We start from the raw sequence: 21,545 nt of genomic DNA on the forward strand, positions 1-21,545 counted from the left end.
TGTGGACACTGAGTCTGAAATTCCCTGCACACTCCTGTGACCCCGTGCAGAACGAAGGAGCGGGGACAGTCCTTTGAGTGAGGAAGACGCTAGTGTTCTCTTCTAACAATAGCAAGTTTGGCTGAAATGCAACTATCCAATAACCCGAGTGCAGGAAGCAGCTCGTGTAAGCTTAGAGAAGCTGTTGCTAGAATCTGTCAGTCTGGCTCCGCAGGGCCTGATACCCAGGGCTTCCGCTGTCACTTAGACGTGGGGGGCGGGGCCGAACATTCCATCCAATCAGAGGCACTGGCTCGGGGCCCTGCCCACTGTGCATCCAGGCACGGAGGATGTTGCATTCCTGCCGTCACCTTTGTCGCTGCGAGGGCGGCGGTTGGGATCTGGCCTTTCCAGCCCCGAGAGGGACCTAGTGCCTCTACCCAGATTTCTGTCGCTCTGTCACCTGCGCTATGCCCTGCTTTACTCACAGGAGCTGTAGAGAGGACCCCGGTACATCTGAAAGCCGGGAAATGGTGCGTGTGCTGGCCGGGAGTGGTGCGATGGGGGAGGGGCTGCCTGGAACTGGCGGGACCCGGGCCTCCCTGTGGGCGACTCCGGGGTCTGGGACCGAGTCCTCCTAGAGCTGCTCGGCCCTCGGTCCCCGCGGCCGCTGGATGTGGGTGGGCCGGCAGCCGGGACTCCGGGCGTCCTGTCCCGTCCCTGCCCGTCGACTGCGGCCTTGGCCCCGAAGCCCTTTTGTGCAGCTCCGCGCCCGCAGCCCGACGCCCCAGCTTGTGCGGGGGCCACGGGAGGGTCATGCGCGGATTTCGACTCGGGTGTGGATTTCGTCCGTAGGAGGAGCAGCGGTCTGTGGGGCCCACAGCCTCCACTTTCTCCTGTTAAAAATTATACTGAGGTACGTTAACAAAAAGTTCATTTGAGGAAACAGCCATTCACGAATGAGAAACACCCGGTCCTGGCTTGTGGTTTGTCAACGGAAAAAAAACAGACTATGTAAAATACAGAAGTGTATTCAGAGCCGAGTAGGAGAGACCTTGGCCGAGGGAAACACAACCCCAAGCAGCCTGGAGTAAGTGGTCCGGAGGCGGCTCAGGACAGTTTGGTTTTATTCATTTCAGAGAGACAGGAATTGCAGGGAAAATGATGGATCAAGGCTGGAAGGTGTAAATTCCATTGGCAGAAAGGGTGGGACCTGTGGAAGGGGGGTTAGGAGGCACAGGTGGTTGAGGGATTCTGTAGGTGGCAGCTGGTTGAGAGTGTGAAGCTTTGTCTAAAGTTTGGAGGAGGTAGGAAGGAATGCTGAAGGAAGGGGGTCTGTTATCTGCCACTTCATTCCATCCCAGCCAAAAAACAGTCCTGTTTCTCTAGATTTTATGAATTCTAAGACGTAACTTTACCTTTGCCTTGCGTGGCCTTAGGTCTTGTTTGTAATTTGGTATCTTGTTGCCACAAGGAGTCTGTTTTTCCAGTCAGAGAATGTCTGTTTTTACATGAATGTGCGTCAGTTGCTGCATGTAAACTCCTAAAGGGAGAGGGTATAAGGAGACCTGTCTCACCTCCCATCCTGTCATACAGAGGCACTCAATTTTCAGGGTGTTTTGGGGGTTCCCTTGGCCAAGAGCCAGTCACTTCACTTAGCTGGGAAGGTACTTTGTTTGTTTTTGTTTTTGTTTGAGACGGAGTCTCCTTCTGTCGCCCAGGCTGGTGTGCAATGGCTCGATCTCGGCTCACTGCAACCTCTGCCTTCTGGGTTCAAGGGATTCTCCTGCCTCAGCCTCCTGAGTAGCTGGGATTACAGGCACGCACCACCACCCCCAGCTAATTGTTGTATTTTTAGTAGAGATGGGGTTTCACCATGTTGGCCAGGCTGTTCTCAAACTCCTGACCTCAAGTGATCCACCCCCCTCGGCCTCCCAAAGTGCTGGGATTACAGATGTGAGCCACATCGCCATGCCAGAAGATATGTTTTTATTTTTGTTTTACATGTTTAAGGCTAGGCTTTTATAAGGTACATGAGGAGACAAACCAGATAAATGCTTGATTGGTTGCAGAGATGCAGTCGCCTTATTTGGACTTGTCAACCGGAAATAATCAAAAGGTTCAGATTTCAGTTGGAAGAGTTTATTCAAGCAGAAAGATAGCAATGACCAAAACACAGACTCCAGAAAAATGGACTCAGTACTCCAAAATTGGAAGTTATGTTCTTGCTTATATTACTGAAAAAAGAGGTCCTGATCAGACCCCAAGAGAGTTCTTGGATCTCACACAGGAAGGAATTCAAGACGAGTCACAAAGTGCAGTGCGAAGAGAGTTTATTGAAAGCTACTCTGGGCCAGCATGATGGCTTAGGCCTGTAATCCAAGCACTTTGGGAGGCCCAGGCGAGAGGATCACTTGAGCTCAGGAGTTCGAGACCAGCCTGGGCAACTTAGCGAAACCCCGTCTCTTCCAAAAATAAGAAAAATTAGCCGGATGTGGTGGCCTGTGCCTGTAGTCTCAGTTACTCAGGAGGCTGAGGTGGGACAATCACTTGAACCTGGGAGGCAGAGGTTGCAGCCCAGCCGAGGATGCGCCACTGCACTCCAGCCTGGGTAACAGAGTGAGACCCCATCTCAAAAAACAAAAACAAAACAAACAAACAAAAAAGAGTTGAAGACCAACCTGGCCAACACAGCGAGACCCTGTCTCTATTTAAAAAAATAAAAAAGAAGAAGAAGAAGAAAGAAAGCTTCTCTGTTACAGAGTAGGGCATCCTCATACAGCAAGAGGAGGAATGTACTGTCTTAAGTTTTTCTTATGTAGGGATCTTGTCTATGTAAAGAATAAACTAAGCTGTGCCTACCTGCATGTGGGCTGACAGCATCACAAAATTTATTACTCTGTTGATTTAAAGAAAACTATCCTTTACATTTTAGTGCACAAGTGCATTAAAGCATAACTATAATTACCTTGAAAGCACATATTATGGGTATTGGGGTATTGGGACATCGGGACATTCTGTCGTTGTGGGAGTGTAAGGATACTTGCAGGCATCTTCAGGCTGTTTTCTTCATGGGAAACATTTTATGACTATGGGTTGTGACTGGCAAGGAGTGTTTCTTGTTAGTCTCAAGATGGAGCTGGTTGGTCTTTCTCTGGCTCCCCTAGGCACCTGCTTCCCTAACACTTATATAGGGAAACGGCAAATAAATATAATAGGATTACATTTTCCATAGAAGGCTGATGTATGAGGTACAATAATTTAATTTTTTTTTTTTTTTGAGGCAATGTCTTGCTCTGTGGCCCAGGCTGGAGCAGTGGTGCCATCACGGCTTACTGCAGCCTTGACTTCCCCATCTTGAGCACCTCCGCCTCCCAAGTAGCTGAGACTATAGTCGCCCACTACCACACCTGGGTAATTTTTAATTTTTTATGGAGGTGGGGTCTCGATACATTGCCCAGGCTTGTCTCTAGCTCCTGGCCTCAAACAGTCCTCCTTCTTTGGCCTCCACAAGTCTTGGGATTGCAGGCGTTAGCCAGTGCACCTGGCTAACAACTTAATTTGTTATCGTTTGCTTTTTTCCCCCAGAGCTTGTTTTCTTTTCTTTCTAGCTGGTTTTTATTTCCTTTTCAATTTAAAAGAGTGAATTCAACATTCCAACTGAAGACAATGTGATAGCCATGAAGTCTTTGTGTGAGAAAGTTAAGAGGGAAGTTAGTCTACTACAGAGATCAGTAGTGAAGAGGGGCCCAGTGGGATGGCTCACACCTGTAACCCCAGCACTTTGGGAGGCTGAGGCAGGTGGATGGCTTGATCTCAGGAGTTCAAGCCTGGGCAACATAGTGAGACCCCCCATCTCAATTGTGAAAAATCATATTAAATAAATTAAAAATAGCAAAGAGGGAAAGGGTCTTTCCTGTTTCCCTTCAGTCATTTACAACATTTTATAAAACAGTATAGGTAAGAAGGAAGGCGAATCTGTAATCAAGGAAAGAGGTGTTCCAGCTGGCTATTTGAAAGCTGTGTGTCATGTGACTCAACCCCATGATCACATTGCTTCAAGACAGTTTAGAGATGCACCAGCTTAAATATTTGAATTACTTGGTTGTTTTTGTTTGTTTGTTTGTCTTGAGACGGGGTCTCACTCTGTCGTCTAGGCTGGAGTGCAGTGGTGCAATCTCAGCTCACTGCAGCCTCCACCTCCTAGGTTCAAGTAATTCTCCTGCCTTAGCCTCCCAAGTAGCTGGGATTACAGGTACATGCCACCATACTCGGCTAATTTTTGTATTTTTAGTAAAGACAGGGTTTTATCACATTGGCCAGGCTGGTCTCCAACTCCTGTCCTCAAGTGGTCCACCCACCTTGGCCTCCCAAAGTGGCGGGATTACAGGTGTGAGCCACCATGGCTGGCCTGACTTACTTCTTCCAACAGCCTATATAGGTAGAAAATTTCTAGTTATGTAATCAGAGGTTAATTGGTGGACTGTGCCTGATTAAGCATAAATTTCATTTTTCTATAAATTAGTAATTTTATTTATTTATTTTTTTTGAGACGAAGTTTCACTCTTGTTGCCCAGGGTGGTGTGCAGTGGTGCAATCTCGGCTCACTGCAACCCCTGCCTTCCAGTTTCAAGCGATTCTCCTGCCTCAGCCTCCTGAGAAGCTGGGATTACAGGCGCCTGCCACCACGCCTGGCTAATTTTTGTATTTTTAGTAGAGACTTGGTTTCACCATGTTGGCCAGGCTGGTCTCGAACTCTTGACCTCGTGATCCACCTGCCTTGGACTCTCAAAAGTGCTGGGATTACAGGTGTGAGCCACCACGCCTGGCCTAAATTAGTAATTTTCAAGAGTTGTATTTCAATTTGATTTCAGGGTCGTTAGGTACCACGGACCCTACTGGATTGAACAAAGGAGGACGAATGCGGGAATAAAGACAAAGGCAAAAGAATATGTTTGGAACAAGGGGTCAGGGGGCTTCTTGCTTGTAGTGAACGTGGGCCCCGAGCTTCTAGCACCCTTCATGTTTACTGAGTAAAGGGGATAGAGAGAAGCGGGTGGTTGTAGGTCAGCTACTTGATTTAGAGCAGGCCTGCATGACTGCATTTTTCAAACAATAGGCTCCAGATGTCCCAGTAGATAACCTCAAGCAGCACAGCACCAGGGAGTGATTGTCCTCAGTATACCTTCTGGCAGCAGAAGCAGATGTGAGTTTGCCCACATTCTGCATTCATGATAAACAGTTCACTGTTTATCATATAGCCTTCAGTGGAAAGCTGAGTTGGTCACAACCTTTGGGCCTTGGGCTCCCAACATCTCTCCCTTTCTGTTTATGCATTAATTGAATGAATGTAAGGCCAGGTTGGGCAGCTCTCATTTTCTGATTGGCGGTCCATCTGATTTTACAGACTATGAACAAAAAACAGAGACTAAACAACATCATTCCAATAACTATATATGAGATGTTAATATAGTGCTTTAGATTGGTCCAAATATTGAGGCTCTCTAGGCCTTGCAGGAATTCACTCCAGACTTCTAAGGAAGGCTGAAACTCTTGAGTTTGCTTATTTAAGTCAAGAATTTTGTTTTGCAGTTCACCAATATCAAAGGTCCCGTGGATGCTCACTTTGGTTGTATTCTAAGTTGTTTACACAAATATGAGTGGCATTAAGATGACAGCACAATTGCTGTTGCAATTGTAAGCTTTGTGCTTGTTCCCCTAACCATAGAACTATGGATTTCAACATTGCCACTTCAGTTTGTAACTCAGTGTTAATTCTATTATGAAGTAGCCACACTTGGTTGGCTGTATGCATCCAGTTCTGCACGTACTGAACTGTTTGAATAGAACTATGCAAAGTGATGGAGTACATCACAACAGAAGTTTTTGGTGTGACCAAGGAAACAATAGCCAAAATTATCATGCCTAAGGCTCTACGGGCACGATGAGTAAGCTGAGTTAGAAGAAGTTTCACAAAGTGCAAAGCAGGGGTGGCAGCCCAAGGCTTGGACAGATTAATGGGAATCCATAGCCCAGGGATGCAACCCAAAATCATCAAAGTAGAGATATTATGTGTTTGTGGCCAGGCACAGTGGCTCACGCCTGTAATCCCAGCACTTTGGGAGGCCAAGGCAGGTGGATTACAAGGTCAGGAGTTCGAGACCAGCCTGGCCAACATGGTGAAACCCCGTCTCTACTAAAAATACAAAAATTAGCCAGGCATGGTGGCGGGCACCTGTAATCCCAGCTACTCAGGAGGCTGAGGCAGGAGAATTGCTTGAACCCAGGAGGCAGAGGTTGCAGTGAGCCGAGATCGTGCCACCGCACTCAAGCTTGGCAACAGAGCAAGGCTCTGTCTCAAAAAAAAAAAAGAGATATTATGTATTTGCAATGTGCTATGATTAATGTAGTGATATAACTGACAAGATTTACAGGTCAATTGGGTATTGTTTACCTGGAGCTAATCCTTCTTAGCTGCCAAAAAGACATAAGGATTAAAAACACAAACCGTAAACTGAGTGGTGATATTCTTTACAAGTGTAGCATTAAAACTGTGTTGCTTACTATTGCTATTATTGGATAGTATCCCAACCCCGATGCTGCCATTCATAAATGAAGGTGCTGCCTTCCATAACGTCTTTTGGATTGGTCCTTGCCTGCCTGGATAATGCCACTGAGGAAGAGGTGAGCTAAAGCCTGCTCCACACCAAGCAATCTGGGCAGCAGACTGGGATTGGATCCCGGTGTGGTATAAAGAAGAAGTATTAAAAGCTTACCACCAATGCCAGCCAAGTTTGTGCCATGATTTCTAATTTTCATCTTTTCCATGTAGTTGACCTTTAGGTCCCCAATCCACAATGTCTGCAGTTAACATAGATTGTTTTCTATGGGCCAAGACTCTGGGTCCATGGAGGGGGGTAGGAACTATGGAAGGGAATCCATTCCATATAGTCAGCACAGGTGGGGCGACTGGGCCGGGAATGGTTGGTTAGCACACCAGTTACATTAATGGAACCAAAACATAATAAGTACATGACTTTTCCATAGTGATTCCACCATGCTTGAGCTTGAATTATAAGACAGCTACTGTTGAGTGACATCTCTGTGGTGATACACAAAGGGAGTCCTTCTAGTGGGGTGGTATAATTGATGACATTGTTCTAAGAGTCTAACTGTTCTATGCCATGGGGAGTTAGGGGTCCTGGAGCCCACGGTCCCTGATCATGATAGATTTCAGAAAGAGCGTCACTCCAAAGTATAGGCCGTACTGCTGGGGGATTGGGAACATATGCCCAATATGTTTTTACCTCTGTACAGGGAAAACATACTGCACAGGACATTATGGCTGACAGGCCAAGAACATGGCATCAGGGGTTTTTGCCTGTCCCTGACGCTCCAGTAGTTTCTCAGCTTCTTGCATGGTTTTCTTGAGTTGTCCCCAGGTTATGGGGGTTGATGTCGTTGTGACTCCGGTCAGCCTTCTCTCCGTCTTCACACTCAGGCTCAGCTGGCTCATGGGTTGTACCGGAGGGACCAAGCCCATTGTTGGCCACCATGGGTCCCTCCAGTTTCCCGTTCCATGGTGGCACGCACCTTGAGGGCACTCACATGGTGTGTCCATCTCCTGTAGAAACACAAGCATACCTTCATCCCCATGTCAGTAAATCCACCGGACCTTTCCATTGTCCTTCTTCCAGGGATTTCCATAACACTTTCAGATAAACTTTCCTCTTTTCCTCTAACACTTGCCAATGTCTTTCTGCTGGAGTCTTACCATCCAGACCAGGAGTCAAACAATTTAAAGTAAATAAGGCTAAATGTAATTTTATTTGAGGTGGTAGCTGGTCTCCTATACCCCCTTTCTGTTTTTTCAACATGCATTGTAATGTTTGATGTGCCCACTCTATAATGCCTTGTCCTCAGGGATTGTAAGGTATTCCTGTTTTGTGGGTGATTGCCCATAACTGTAAAAAGTTTTGAAAAACATGGCTAAGTATAAGCAGGTCCATTGTCCGTTTTTAATTGTTTAGGGATCCCCATATGAGCAAATGATGACCGACAATGTCACCGCACATGAGCAGCTGTCTCGCCTGTTTGGCATGTAGAATGCAGCATATGAGATTAAGTGTCTATAGTTACATGAACATAGCTAAGCTTGCCAAAGGCTGCTATATGTGTAACATCCATCTGCCAAATTTCATTTGGAGCCAAGCCTTGTGGATTGCATCCTTCCACAGGTATAACACCAGGGACATGCTGACAAGTGGGACAGGCTTGCGCCATAGTTCGAGCCTGGCTGTGAGGCAGGTGAAACATACGAGTAAGGGCGAGGTGTTTTGAGGCAGTATTGCCTGAGAAGTTTGAGCTTGTTGAAATACAGAACAAACCAGTTTATCTGCTCTATCATTACCTAGAGATAGTGGTCCAGGGAGTTGTATGTGAGAGCAAATATGAGAAATATGTAAAGGAGCAGCATGAGAGCGAACAGCTTGTTGAAGTCTTAGAAACAAGCTAAGCAGTTCTGGCTCTAGTGTGCTTTTAATTGTAGCAGTTTCTATGCGACTGGCTACATTTACGACATAGGCTGAATCACAGACAATGTTAATGGGAGTTGAAGCTGTGAGCTCTAAAACTAGAATGACTGTAATTAACTCTGAGCGTTGAGCTGAAAGTCCAGAGATCCTTATTGTCTGAGTATGTTTAGGTCCCAACATAGCTGCACGCCCTTTGGAAGAGCCATCGGTAAAATAGGCCTGACCACCTGGAATAGGCTCGTGATGAGTAATCACAGGGAAGATAAAATAATAGACATTATAAAATTGTAAAACTTTGTCCGATGGAGAGTGGTTGTCTATTATTTCCACAAAATCTGCAAGAGCAATTTGCTACACAGTCGATATTTCCCATGCTGTGGCCTGTTGTTGGGAATCCAAGGAAACAATAATTGCGTCTGGATCATACCCCATAAGCACTTTTAATTTATGCCTACCTATAGTCACAAGTTGTGTAATTAAAGGAAGATAGGCTTGCAAGGTTTTAACTGTTTGATTAGGTAGAAAGAGCCATTCTATTACTGATACAGACTTGTCTAAGCACTGGCCCAGGAGTCCTGTTGGAGAATGAGGGGTATGAAGAATAAGCAAAGGCTTTTGCGGCTACAGCCATGAGGCATGTCTCTGCTGAAGCATCTGTTCTACAAGTTGCAACTCAGCTTCTGCCTCTTTGGTCAATTGCTGCGGGGAAATCTAATGAAGAATCTCCTTGCAGGGTTTGATAAAGATGTTTGAGTCGATAAGTTGCAATACCTAGCATTGCGCACAGCCAATGAATATCCCCTAACAACTGTTGAAAATCATTTAAAATCTGTAACCTGTCTTTATGGAGAACTACTTTCTGAGGCCGAACACTTCTTTCAGTAACAATAGTGCCTAAGTAATGGTATGGGGAAGTTGCTTGTACTTTCTCTGGACCAATTTTGAGATTCCATTTAGTCAAAGCCTGCTTCCTTTCTCTGAATAACTGATGTAAGATTTGATCTGTAGGAGTGGCCAAAAGAATGTCATCCATGAAATGAATGATGTGAGCAGTAGGAAACATATTCAGAGTCTCCTTCAATGTTTGTCCTACAAAATGCTGACAGCGTAGGACTGTAAAGCATGTCTTGGGGTAAAACTTTCCTTTGATAAAGAGAAACAGGTTCTCTTGGATGAATAGAAGGCACAGAGAAGGCAGATCCAGGCTTATCCTTCTCGTGTAAGGGTATAGTAAAGAAAGGTCTATGCCGGGCGCAATGGCTCACGCCTGTAATCCCAGCACTTTGGGAGGCCGAGGTGGGTGGATCATGAGGTCAGGAGATCAAGACCATCCTGCCTAACATGGTGAAACCCCGTCTTTACTAAAAATACAAAAAAAAAAAAAATTAGCCAGGCATGGTGGCAGGCACCTGTAGTCCCAGCTACTTGGGAGGCTGAAACAGGAGAATGGCGTGAACCCGGAAGGCGGAGCTTGCAGTGAGCCGAGATCGCACCACTGCACTCCAGCCTGGGCGACAGAGCGAGACTCCATCTCGGAAAAAAAAAAAAAAAAGGGGGTCTATTGCTACAAGAGGCCAGTCTCTAGGAATGACGGCTGCAGATGGCAAGCCTTGTTGTAATGCACCCATCAGTTTAATTTGTGCATTAATAGCTCTCAAATCATGCAGCAGTCGCCATCTTCCTGACTTCTTTGGAATTACAAACACTGGTGAATTCCAGTGGCTAACCGACTCCTCTTTATGGCCTGCATCCAGTTGCTCTTTTTCTACTGCTGAAGTTGAGTTAGTTTCTCCTGTGATAGGGGCCATTGATCCACCCACACAGGTTTGTCACTGAGCCATTCTAATGGTAAGGCAGTAGGTGAAGGAGAAGTATCAATGACCCCCATCAGAAATCCTGACTCCTAGCCCTTTTCTATCTGTTTGCCCACTTATTGATATAGGATCAGGGTTTCCCTGTAGGGACTTTTCTAAGCCTTTTCTGCTCTGATATCCCATTTTAGGGTTTGACCCTTGGCTCTTTTTAGATTTGTCAACTACTAAATTAGCCATTGCTTGACCTAACATTGTAGAATGATAAAGCTCAGTTCCTACATCCTGAGAAGCTCTGAGAAAATTTCCCAACTCTTCTGTATACTTCACAGGTGCTAGTGCACATTTACAATCTACGTTTGCATTCTCAAAAGCTAAAGTTACGGTTTGCATCTCTGCAGCCATGGTATGAGGAATCTGTTTCTTCACTGCCTCTTGTAATCTTTCAAGAAAATGTGCACAGGGCTCCTGCAACCCTTGCGTGATATGTAAAAAGGATTGTACTGGAACCCCTTCCTCTGGAATTGTGGCCCAGGCACATTTAGCAGCCAGTGCACACTGCTTATAAGCAGCGTCTGGGAGTGCCATTTGATGTTCCAGGTCTGAATAAGGGCCATTACCCAACAGCATATCCTCTGTAATGTCTCTATGTCCAGTAGCATGATTCTGTCTAGCCTGGTCTGCACACATTTCTTCCCAATTTAAATTCCGTGTTAGGTATGCGCTAGCAGACAAACAAATCTGAGCCAAATGCTTTACATCAAAGGGTATAAGGCGCATAGCACCAAAAAGAGATTCTGGTAATCCTAAAGTAAATGGGCTCTGTACTCCATTATTAACTACACTAGCTTTTAATTCCTTCAACAACTTAAACTCTAGTGGGGGTGTGTTCATGAATAAACTGCTGTGGATTATTTGAATCGGGCCTTATGGAAATAGGAAAAACGCAAGGTCCTAAGGGCTCTCCAGCTATGGCAGCAGAGCATAAAGTTGTTTGTTTTGGGGTCTCTATTTCTGCTACCGAAGGAGGCAGTACAGATGTTTCTGCTATTGGAGGGGGCGGTATAGGCCAATTTTTATCCTCCTTCTCCTGTTTATTATTTTCAGTTGGTACTGTGGGTGGGACAAAAGATTCTTTCAGATTTTTAGACTCAGAATATGATTCCAGCTGTCTAGCAGAATAAGAAGGAGATAACGGCAGAAGGACAGTATGGACTAAACTCCAAGTGGAGAAAACAGAAGGATCAACTTTTAGACCTTTTTGATGAGCCCATTTTAATCCTTCACCTGCTGTGTCCCAATTTTCCACATCGAAAGTGCCTGTCTGCAGAAACCATGGGTTATGCATAATAACCTCCTGCAGCATCTTAGTGTCTGAGAACTAACCTGAGCACCAGACTGTTTAAGTAAAACTTTAAGCAACTGCACATAATGTTGCTCCTCAATCCCAGCACTTTGGGAGGCCGAGGCGGGTGGATCATGAGGTCAGGAGATCAAGACCATCCTGCCTAACATGGTGAAACCCCGTCTTTACTAAAAATACAAAAAAAAATTGTCTCTTGCTCCTCAATAGACAAATACTGCCCCATGTTACCCTGATTCAGAAACTTCCTGTTCCCAGTACTTCTTTAGAGCACCTACCTTATATTGCTCCCAGTACCTCTTTAGGGCACTGATCAGTATCTCTTTAGGGCACTGACTTTATATCAGCTGCCGGCAGATATCCTGGGGTCCCCATTTGTGTGGTGAATTTCATTTCCTCTGCTCCAGCAAGCTTTCTTCGTTCACATCCTCAAGTCCCTGTTCACGGCCGCCGCTTTGCCATGAACCCTACTATACTGAACAAAGGAGGACGAACGCGGGAATAAAGACAAAGACAAAAGAATATGTTTGGAAGAAGGGGTCGGGGGCACCTTGCTTCTAGTGAACAAGGGCCCTGAGCTTCTAGTGCCCTTCGTATTTATTGATTAAAGGAGATAGAAGGGGGTGGTTGTAGGTCAGCTGCTTGATTTAGAGCAGGCCTGCATGACTGCATTCTTTGAACAATAGGCTCCAGATGTCCCAGTAGATAACCTCAAGCAGCACAGCGCCAGGGTGATTGTCCTCAGTGTACCTTCTGGCGGCAGGTGCAGACACGAGTTTGCCCACATTCTGCATTGATGATAAACAGTTTACTGTATGATCATATAACCTCCAGTGGAATGCTGAGTTGGTCACGACCCTCAAGTCTTTGGCTCCCAACCCTTAGGTAGGACCTTAGGACACTACACACGGTTCGGCCTCATTGCTTCTTATTTAAATTTGTTCATACTCTCCAGGGTGACTGGTTTGTCCCTGCATTCTCCAAATATACGGGATGCAGGGCCTCAAATCCTCCACCCTCATACCACAGCCTAACTCTTCAAGGGCTTGCAGTGAAATCTGTGTCTGAACATTTCACATGAGAGGAAAGCAGAGAATAACCACTAGACATTTGCCTGAAAAATCCTTTCTGCCTCTCCTCCTCTTATCTTTCCGAGACACAGACACCTTATCAGGATGTCTTTGGGATGCGGTTCCTTTCTGGAAACTGTACAGGGTGATGTGTCTTCAGTACACCCTCCTATCTTTTCCTGGTTTTGGGTTTTAGAACTGCCTCGGGCTGACTCAAGTTCCCCACAACTGCCATGTCTCCTGGAGGGTCTAGTGGGTATCAGTGCCTAGGGGAGTGGGGCCTCCCAAGGGAGCAGCTGAATGCCTTATGGTGGCAGAGATGCCTGGTATACGCTTCATCTAGATAACCAATTCTCTGAGTTCTCAGCTTCTCCCTCCCAACTCCAGTTTCCATTAATTGGAGACACATGGCTGGTCAGCCAATTGGATGTTGCTATTGAGGGAAAACAGAAATGATTCCTGTCTTCTGGATTTTCTCAACTGTGAAGAGAGAAATATCCCAAAAGAAGAGGAAAGGCCACTTCAACAGGGTGGAACAATAGCCTGCAAAAGCAAAATATACCTGGGGGTACACAGGGGACACAATGCCATGTTGGTGGGAAATCGTCATTGAGCGCTTCTCCTTTCCTCTATGTGAAATGTTCAGGGAATCACCACCAGTCACTCTCCCGTAAAAGTATGTGTGCTGCTCCTCCTTTCATCTATCCTGGAAACAGACATCAGATTGTCTTTTGGTTGAGGCTCCCCTTTGGAAACATAAAGGAGTATTGTGTCTTTAGTGCACTCTCCTATCTTTTCTTGGTCCTGGGTGGCAGAAATGGGGTGACTTGCTTCTTTCATGTAAAAATATGCATTGAAGGTCTCGCAATAACTTTGTTGCTTGACAACTCATTTAGTTTTTATTTTTATTTATTTATCTAAAAAATTTTTTTGTTTTGTTAGAGACAGGGTCACAAACTCCCAAGCTCAGGTGATCCTCCTGCCTCAGCTTCCCAAAGTGCTGGGATTCCACTTGTGAGCCACCATGTCCGGCCACTCATTTTTTTGCATCACTGAGTAACATTCCATTGTACGGATGTTACCATAGTTTGTTTCTTTATTCATCTATTGAAAGGCTCATCTTGAGCCTGGTGTGATGCCTCATCCCTGAATTCCCAGCTACATGGGAGACTGAGGTGAGAAGATTGCTTGAGGCCAGCAGTTAGAGACCAGCCTGGTAGATACAGTGTGAGAACTCCTCTATTTTTTTTTTTTTAAGACTCACCTTGTTTGATTCTAATTTTGGCAGTTATGAGTAAGGCTGCTAAAAATGTTTGTGGGAGGACTTTTGTGTGGACATCAGTTTTCAGTTCACTTGGGTCAATATGTAGGAATGAGACTACTGAATCCATAAGACCGTGCTTATTTTCTTCAGAACTCCACAGACTGTCTTTCAAATTGGCTGTAGAATTTTCCATTCACATCCCTAGTGAATGAGAGTTCACTGTCACCAGCATTTGGAAGTATCAGTGTTTTGGATTTCATCTACCGCAACAGGTATTTACTGTTACCTCATTGTTGTTTTCTGTTGTTTTTTTTTTTCTTCTTTTGGAGACGGAGTTTTGCTCTTTTTGCCCAGGCTGGAATGCAATGGCGTGATCTCAGCTCACTGCAGCTTCTGCCTCCCCAGTTCCAGTGATTCTTCTGCCTCAGCCTCCCAAGTAGCTGGGATTACAGGCATGTACCGCCATGCCCAGCCAATTTTTGTATTATTAGTAGAGATGAGATTTTACCTTGTTGGTCACGCTGGTCTCAAACTCCTGACCTCAGGTGATCCACCTGCCTCGGCCTCCCAAACTGTTGGATTATAGACATGAGCCATCGTGCCCAGCCTGTTTTCATTTGCTCTTTAATAACATGTAATGTAGAGCATCCTGTCATATGTTTGTTTGCCATAATTATGTTCTTTAGAGAGAGGTATGCTTGGAAAGATTTTGCTTTTTTTTTTTTTTTTTTTTTGAGTTGTAGTCTGGCTCTCTGGCCCAGGCTGGAGTGCCGTGGCACAGTCTCGGCTCAGCTCACTGCAACCTCTGCCTCCCAGGATCAAGTGATTCTCCTGCCTCAGCCTCCCGAGTAGCTGGGATTACAGGCTCATGCCACCACGCCCAGCTAATTTTTGTATTTTTAGTAGAGGCGGGGTTTCACCATGTTAGCCAGGTTGGTCTCAACCTCCTGACCTCAGTGATCTACCCTCCTCAGCCTCCCAAAGTGCTGGGATTACAAGCATGAGCCACCATGCCCGGCCTTTTTATTTTTTGATTAGTTGGCTTTTTTCTTATAGAATTCTAGGAGTTCTTCATATCTTTTGGGTACCAGTCCTTGATCAGATAGGTGTCCTGCAAATATTGTGTCCCAGTCTGCCACCTGTCTTTTTATTCTCTTAACAGACTCTTTTCCCAAACAGAGTTTTATTTTGAATGAAGTCCAATTTATCGATTTTCTCACTCACAGATCATGTTTTTTGTGTTGTGTGTGAAACCTGATTGCCAAATCCAAGGTTGTCTTGGTTTTCACAAGTGTTAAGTTCTAGAAGTTGTGAGTTTTGCATTTTCCATTTAAGTAAATGATTCATCAGGAGGTAGTTTTGTAAAAGGTTCAGTTCTGTGTCTAATTCATTTCTTTGCATTTGCTAATCCAGGTGTTTCAGTACCATTTGTTTTGTGCCACCATGTCTAATTATTTATTTTATTATGGATACAGGGTCTCACTATGTTGCCCAGGCTGGTCTCGAACTGCGGGGCTCAAATGATCTGTCCGCCTTGACCTCCGGTTTTGCATTTTTAATACTTGTCTTTATAGTAGATTTTTCTATGTTCCTAGTGCCTCTCTTGCGATCATATGGAATCTTCTCTTGTATATTTAGTTTATTAAGTGTTTTTAATCATGAGGAGATATCAACCCATTTATGCTAGAGGTTGCAATTTTTTGAATTGCAGACGTGTGAAAAATCAGACTTTGGTAATGACCTTGAGCAGTAGGATACAAATAACTCCCACATGCTTAGCGTTCCAGAAATGGAACAGTGGGCTCAAATGGGTTAAGGCTTGTCACATGCCTTTTCTGCCTCTATTAGGACATTCTTCTCATTTTTTGTTTGATTTGAGATGGAGTCTCACTCTGTCGCCCAGGCTAGAGTGCAATGGTGGGATTTTGGCTCACTGCAACCTCTGCCTCCCGGGTTCAAAGGATTCTCCCACCTCAGCCTTCCAAGTAACAGAGAATACAGGCACTCGCTGCACGCCTGGCTAATTTTTGTGTTTTTAGTAGAGATGGAGTTCCACCATGTTAGCCAGGCTGGTCTCACACTGCTGACCTCAAGTGAACCACCTACCTTGGCCTCCTAAAGTGCTGGGATTGCAGGCATAAGCCAACACGCCTGGCTGCTACCGTGATTTGTTATCAATACTTACTATAAAACAAAACTTAAAAATTATCAGCTTAAGGAATTTTACATGTACAATTGAGATAGGTTGACAAATCTATGTAAGTTCTCTAAGATGAATTCTGTTGTATTTTGCCTTTTGCAATTATCCTGATGTTTCATATATGTCGTAGTATGGGCCAAGATATTGTTTTCTTTCTTTCTTTTTTTTTTTTGAGATGCAGTTTCACTCTTGTTGCCCAGGCTGGAGTGCAATGGCACAATATTGACTGACCCCAACCTCAAGCAATTTTCCTGCCTCAGCCTCCTGAGTAGCTGGGATTACAGGCATGCGCCACCATGCCCGGCTAATTTTGTATTTTTAGTAGAGACAAGGTTTCTCTATGTTGGTCACACTGGTCTTGAACTCCCAACCTCAGGTGATCTGCCCGCCTCCACCTCCCAAAGTGCTGGGATTACAGGCATGAGCCACCGCACCAGGCCAAGATGTTATTTTCTAAGACTAAATAATATTCCATTGTATGTATATGCTTACCACATTTTGTTTATCCATTCAGCCATCAATGGATATGTGGGTGGCTGCATTGCTCATTACTGCCACCCCAGGAAGGTCGTATAGTGGTTAAATCTGTGCTCATTACACCTGGGTATCTCTTAGGAGTTTCTTGTTTGCCCTCTTGTGTAATTACGGTCTTGTTTTTTTCAGTAATGTCCTGTTTGCCCTTCTTATCAGCATCTATCTAGCTACATTCTGACAGGATAACTGCAAACTGAATGATTCCTGGGCATCATAATGGATGTTTCTTTCTACTTAGGTGTCTCCCCTCCTCTCTGCTTATATCTAGCATGCCTGTTTTGGGTGGTCCCTGGGGTTGTGGGATTTCCCAGGGGCTACCCTTCCTGCTCTTGGCTAGATATCTGCCTTCTCTAACAATGTCATCAAAGATTACACTTTGGGAACAGGCATTTTCAAGGATACACAGCTTCAGGACTGCTAATGTTAACTTTTTTCTGCATATTAATTCATAGTACTCTGTTATGACAGGTGCTACAGACCCACAGTCCAAGGAGACATTAGGGACAGCCCAAGCAGCTGACAGAGCGATACACTATCACAAAAAAAAAAAAAAAAAAAAAAAAAAAATTGCTGTCTGGGTGTGGTGGCTCATGCCTGTAATCCTAGCACTTTGTGACTCTGAGGCAGGTGGATCACCTGAGGTTGGGAGTTCGAGACCAGCCTGACCAACATGGAGAAACCCTGTCTCTACTAAAAATACAAAATTAGCCGGGTATGCTGGTGCATGCCTGTAATCCCAGCTACTCGGGAGGCTGAGGCAGAAGAAGCACTTGAACCCCGGCAGTGAGCCGAGATTGCACCATTGTACTCCAGCCTGGGCAATAAGAGTGAAATTCTGTCTCAAAAAAATAAAAAAAAAAATTGCTTTATGGAAGAAAGTAAGTATAGACAGAGAGAAAGGGATCTGATGACCAAAGCAGGGAATAAATGTTTGGAGTCCACGGCATCCTGAGAACTTCTTGGGAATAGAGTCTAGGCCCCCAATGCTGTCACTCTCACCCATCCTCCTCTACACATGTGAGATGTTTCAGGACCCAGTGGCTTTTAAGGATGTGGCTGTGAACTTCACCCAGGAGGAGTGGGCTTTGCTGGATATTTCCCAGAAGAATCTCTACAGGGAAGTGATGCTGGAAACTTTCTGGAACCTGACCTCTATAGGTAAGGATGACAATATTCCTTCCCTCAGTGCATTAGTTTACCAATGTTTCTAGCTCACCAATGCTGTTGAGTGATTTGGAACACAGACAGGAAATACTTTGATGAATAAATGAGGCATGGCTGCTGTAAATCATGGGCATAGGTCTAATAATTTTTTCACAATTTTATACTGCCTCAGGATTATTTTTCTGTGTTTGTATTTTAGGAAAAAAGTGGAAAGACCAGAACATTGAATATGAGTACCAAAACCCCAGGAGAAACTTCAGGTAATTTGCACTTATAAGAGAAAGCAGTGTCTCTCTACACGATCTTAGAATATGAGACTATGTTAAAAATAAGTAAAACAAAGAACTAAGTCCAGGATCAAGTTCATTTATTCATACAATATTTTATCTAAAAATATATATTTAAATGTGATCAAGGCTGAGGGCTCACTCCTGTAATCCCAGTCCTTTGAGACATGGAGATAGGAGGATAGCTTGAGGCCAGCAGTTCAACAACAGCCTGCGCAACATAACAAGACCACATATCAACAACAGCAAAAAATTAGCTGGGCATTGTGGTATGCATCCGTAGTCCCAGCTACTCAGGAGGCTGAGACATGAGGGACATGAGGATCACTTGAGCCCCCAGGAGTTAAAGGCTGTGGTAAGCTATGATGATACCACTGCACTCCAGGGTGGGCAACAGGACAAGACCCTGAAACAAAAGAAAAATGACACAGAGTATTTAGTATTTTAAAATAGTTTACATGGGAAGAGTATTAAGAAGCCCCATATAAACATTTTTTTAAATAATAGGTATGGCTAGGTCACCTTGTAGAATGTGTTGTCCAGTCACCTTCAAACAATTCAGACAGGGCAGAAAGCCTACACTTTGATGGAGAGTGTTAAAAATGCAAGTACAATACTTGCTGATTAATATAAAATTACTTATAAACAAACTCTTCATAATTTGTTTCTCATTTTTGACAGGAGTGTCACAGAAGAGAAAGTCAATGAAATTAAAGAAGACAGTCATTGTGGAGAAACTTTTACCCCAGTTCCAGATGACAGGCTGAACTTCCAGAAGAAGAAAGCTTCTCCTGAAGTAAAATCATGTGACAGCTTTGTGTGTGAAGTTGGCCTAGGTAACTCATCTTCTAATATGAACATCAGAGGTGACACTGGACACAAGGCATGTGAATGTCAGGAATATGGACCAAAGCCATGGAAGAGTCAACAACCTAAAAAAGCCTTCAGATATCACCCCTCCTTGAGAACACAAGAAAGGGATCACACTGGAAAGAAACCCTATGCTTGTAAAGAATGTGGAAAAAACATTATTTACCATTCAAGCATTCAAAGACACATGGTAGTGCACAGTGGGGATGGACCTTATAAATGTAAGTTTTGTGGGAAAGCATTCCATTGTCTCAGTTTATATCTTATCCATGAAAGAACTCACACTGGAGAGAAACCGTATGAATGTAAACAATGTGGTAAATCTTTTAGTTATTCTGCTACCCATCGAATACATGAAAGAACTCACATTGGAGAAAAGCCTTATGAATGTCAGGAATGTGGGAAAGCATTCCATAGTCCCAGATCCTGTCACAGACATGAAAGGAGTCACATGGGAGAGAAGGCTTATCAATGTAAGGAATGTGGAAAAGCATTCATGTGTCCCCGTTATGTTCGTAGACATGAAAGGACCCACTCTAGGAAAAAACTTTATGAATGTAAGCAGTGTGGGAAAGCATTATCCTCTCTTACAAGTTTTCAAACACACATAAGAATGCACTCTGGAGAAAGACCTTATGAATGTAAGACATGTGGGAAAGGCTTTTATTCTGCCAAGTCATTTCAAAGACATGAAAAAACTCACAGTGGAGAGAAACCGTATAAATGCAAGCAATGTGGTAAAGCCTTCACTCGTTCCGGTTCCTTTCGATATCATGAAAGGACTCACACTGGAGAGAAACCCTATGAGTGTAAGCAATGTGGGAAAGCCTTCAGATCTGCCCCAAATCTTCAATTGCATGGTAGGACTCACACTGGAGAGAAACCGTATCAATGTAAGGAATGTGGGAAAGCTTTCAGATCTGCCTCACAACTTCGAATCCATCGTAGGATTCACACTGGAGAGAAACCCTATGAATGTAAGAAATGTGGGAAAGCCTTCAGATATGTCCAGAACTTTCGATTTCATGAAAGGACACAAACACATAAGAATGCACTCTGGAGAAAGACCTTATAAATATAAGATATATGGGAAACACTTTTATTCTGCCAAGTTATTTCAAACACATGAAAAAATTCACACTGGAGAGAAACCCTATAAATGCAAGCAATGTGGTAAAGCCTTAATTGTTCCAGTTCCTTTCGATATCTAAAAGGACTCACAGTGGAGAAAAACTCTATGAGTGTAAGCAATGTGGGAAAGTCTTCAGATCTGTCAAGAACCTTTCAATTTATGAAAGGACACACACTGGAGAGAAACCCTATGAATGTAAGAAATGTGGAAAAGCGTTCCATAATTTCTCTTCTTTTCAAATACATGAAAGTTGCACAGAGGAGAGGCGCCCTAAGAATGTAAGCATTGTGGGAAAGCATTCATATCTGCCAAGATCGTTTGAATACATGCAAAACACACACTGGAGAGAAACCTATGAATGTAAGGAATGCAAACAAGCATTCAATTATTTTTCTTCCTTGCATATACATGAAAGGACTCATACGAGAGAGAATCCGTATGAATGTAAGGATTGTGGGAAAGCATTCAGCTTGCTTAATTGCTTTCATAGACATGTAAAGACACACCAGAAGGAAACCCTATGAATGTAAGCAATGTGGCAAAAGCTTTCACTTCTTCCAGTTCTTTTCAATATCATGAAAGGACTCACACTGGGGAGAAACCGTATCAATGTAAGCAATGTGGGAAAGCCGTCAGATCAGCCTCAAGACTTCAAATGCATGGAAGCACTCACACTTGGCAGAAACTCTATGAATGTAAGCAGTATGGGAAAGCCTTCAGATCGGCTAGGATTCTTTGAATACAAATAATGAATGTAAACAATTAACTGTTTATAATAACTGTATACTAACAAATGTTATTCTTTTTAAATAATTAAGAAGCTATAATAAAATATCCATTGGTGTCATGTATTAGATCAAGCTTATAATGTTACATTGTTATTATTTGGATATTGTGAATCAGCATTACCTGGATTAAATGCCAGGCATATTTTTCCTCATGTAAACTTTACTTTTCATGCTTATGTACTTTAATTTTTATTTCAACTGTAATTTTTCTTTTTTTTTCCTTTTGCTTTTTCTTTTTCTTTTTTTTTTTTTTTTTTTTTTAGAAAGAGCCTCACTCTGTTGCCCAGGCTGGAGTGCAGTGGTGTGATCTTGGCTCACTGCAATCTCTGCTTCCCAGGTTTGAACAATTCTCCTTCTTCAGCCTTTTGAGTAGCTGGGACTACAGGCATGCACCACTTCACCCAGCTAATTATGTGTATTATTTAGTAGAGACGGGGTTTCACCATATTGGCCAGGCTGGTCTCGAACTCTGGACCTTGTGATCCTCCTGCCTCGGCCTCTCAAAGTGCTGGATTTACAGACATGAGCCACTGCGCCCAGCCTCAACCC

General features: G+C 44.0%; 1 protein-coding gene across 10 annotated transcripts; it reads left to right on the forward strand.

Moving 5' to 3' along the window:
- The first annotated feature begins 307 nt into the window (after positions 1–307).
- On the forward strand, positions 308–21,068 carry ZNF439 (zinc finger protein 439). 10 transcript variants are annotated; one of them, NM_001348720.2, is made up of 5 exons: positions 308–512; positions 835–895; positions 17,778–17,913; positions 18,119–18,179; positions 18,888–21,068. In NM_001348720.2, the coding sequence occupies exons 3-5, from the start codon at positions 17,778–17,780 to the stop codon at positions 20,149–20,151; spliced, it is 1,461 nt and encodes a 486-aa protein (NP_001335649.1). In that variant the 5' UTR covers positions 308–512; positions 835–895; the 3' UTR covers positions 20,152–21,068. The 10 variants fall into 10 exon arrangements, with proteins under 10 accessions (NP_001335649.1, NP_001335652.1, NP_001335650.1 ...); NM_001348723.2 differs by having other exon boundaries at positions 17,787–17,913; NM_001348721.2 differs by having other exon boundaries at positions 308–895.
- The last annotated feature ends 477 nt before the right edge of the window (positions 21,069–21,545 follow it).

The sequence above is a fragment of the Homo sapiens genome, chromosome 19 (assembly GCF_000001405.40).
Source record: "Homo sapiens chromosome 19, GRCh38.p14 Primary Assembly".
NCBI classification, from domain to species: domain Eukaryota; kingdom Metazoa; phylum Chordata; class Mammalia; order Primates; family Hominidae; genus Homo; species Homo sapiens.

What these genes read in the sequence shown, in the direction of transcription:
- ZNF439 (NM_001348718.2), top strand. Translation starts at nt 450, where the DNA reads ATGCCCTGCTTTACTCACAGGAGCTGTAGAGAGGACCCCGGTACATCT. An exon ending in CATCTGAAAGCCGGGAAATG is followed by an intron (nt 513 to 17,777) that starts GTGCGTGTGCTG and finishes TACACATGTGAG; the next exon opens with ATGTTTCAGGACCCAGTGGC. An exon ending in CTGGAACCTGACCTCTATAG is followed by an intron (nt 17,914 to 18,118) that starts GTAAGGATGACA and finishes TTTGTATTTTAG; the next exon opens with GAAAAAAGTGGAAAGACCAG.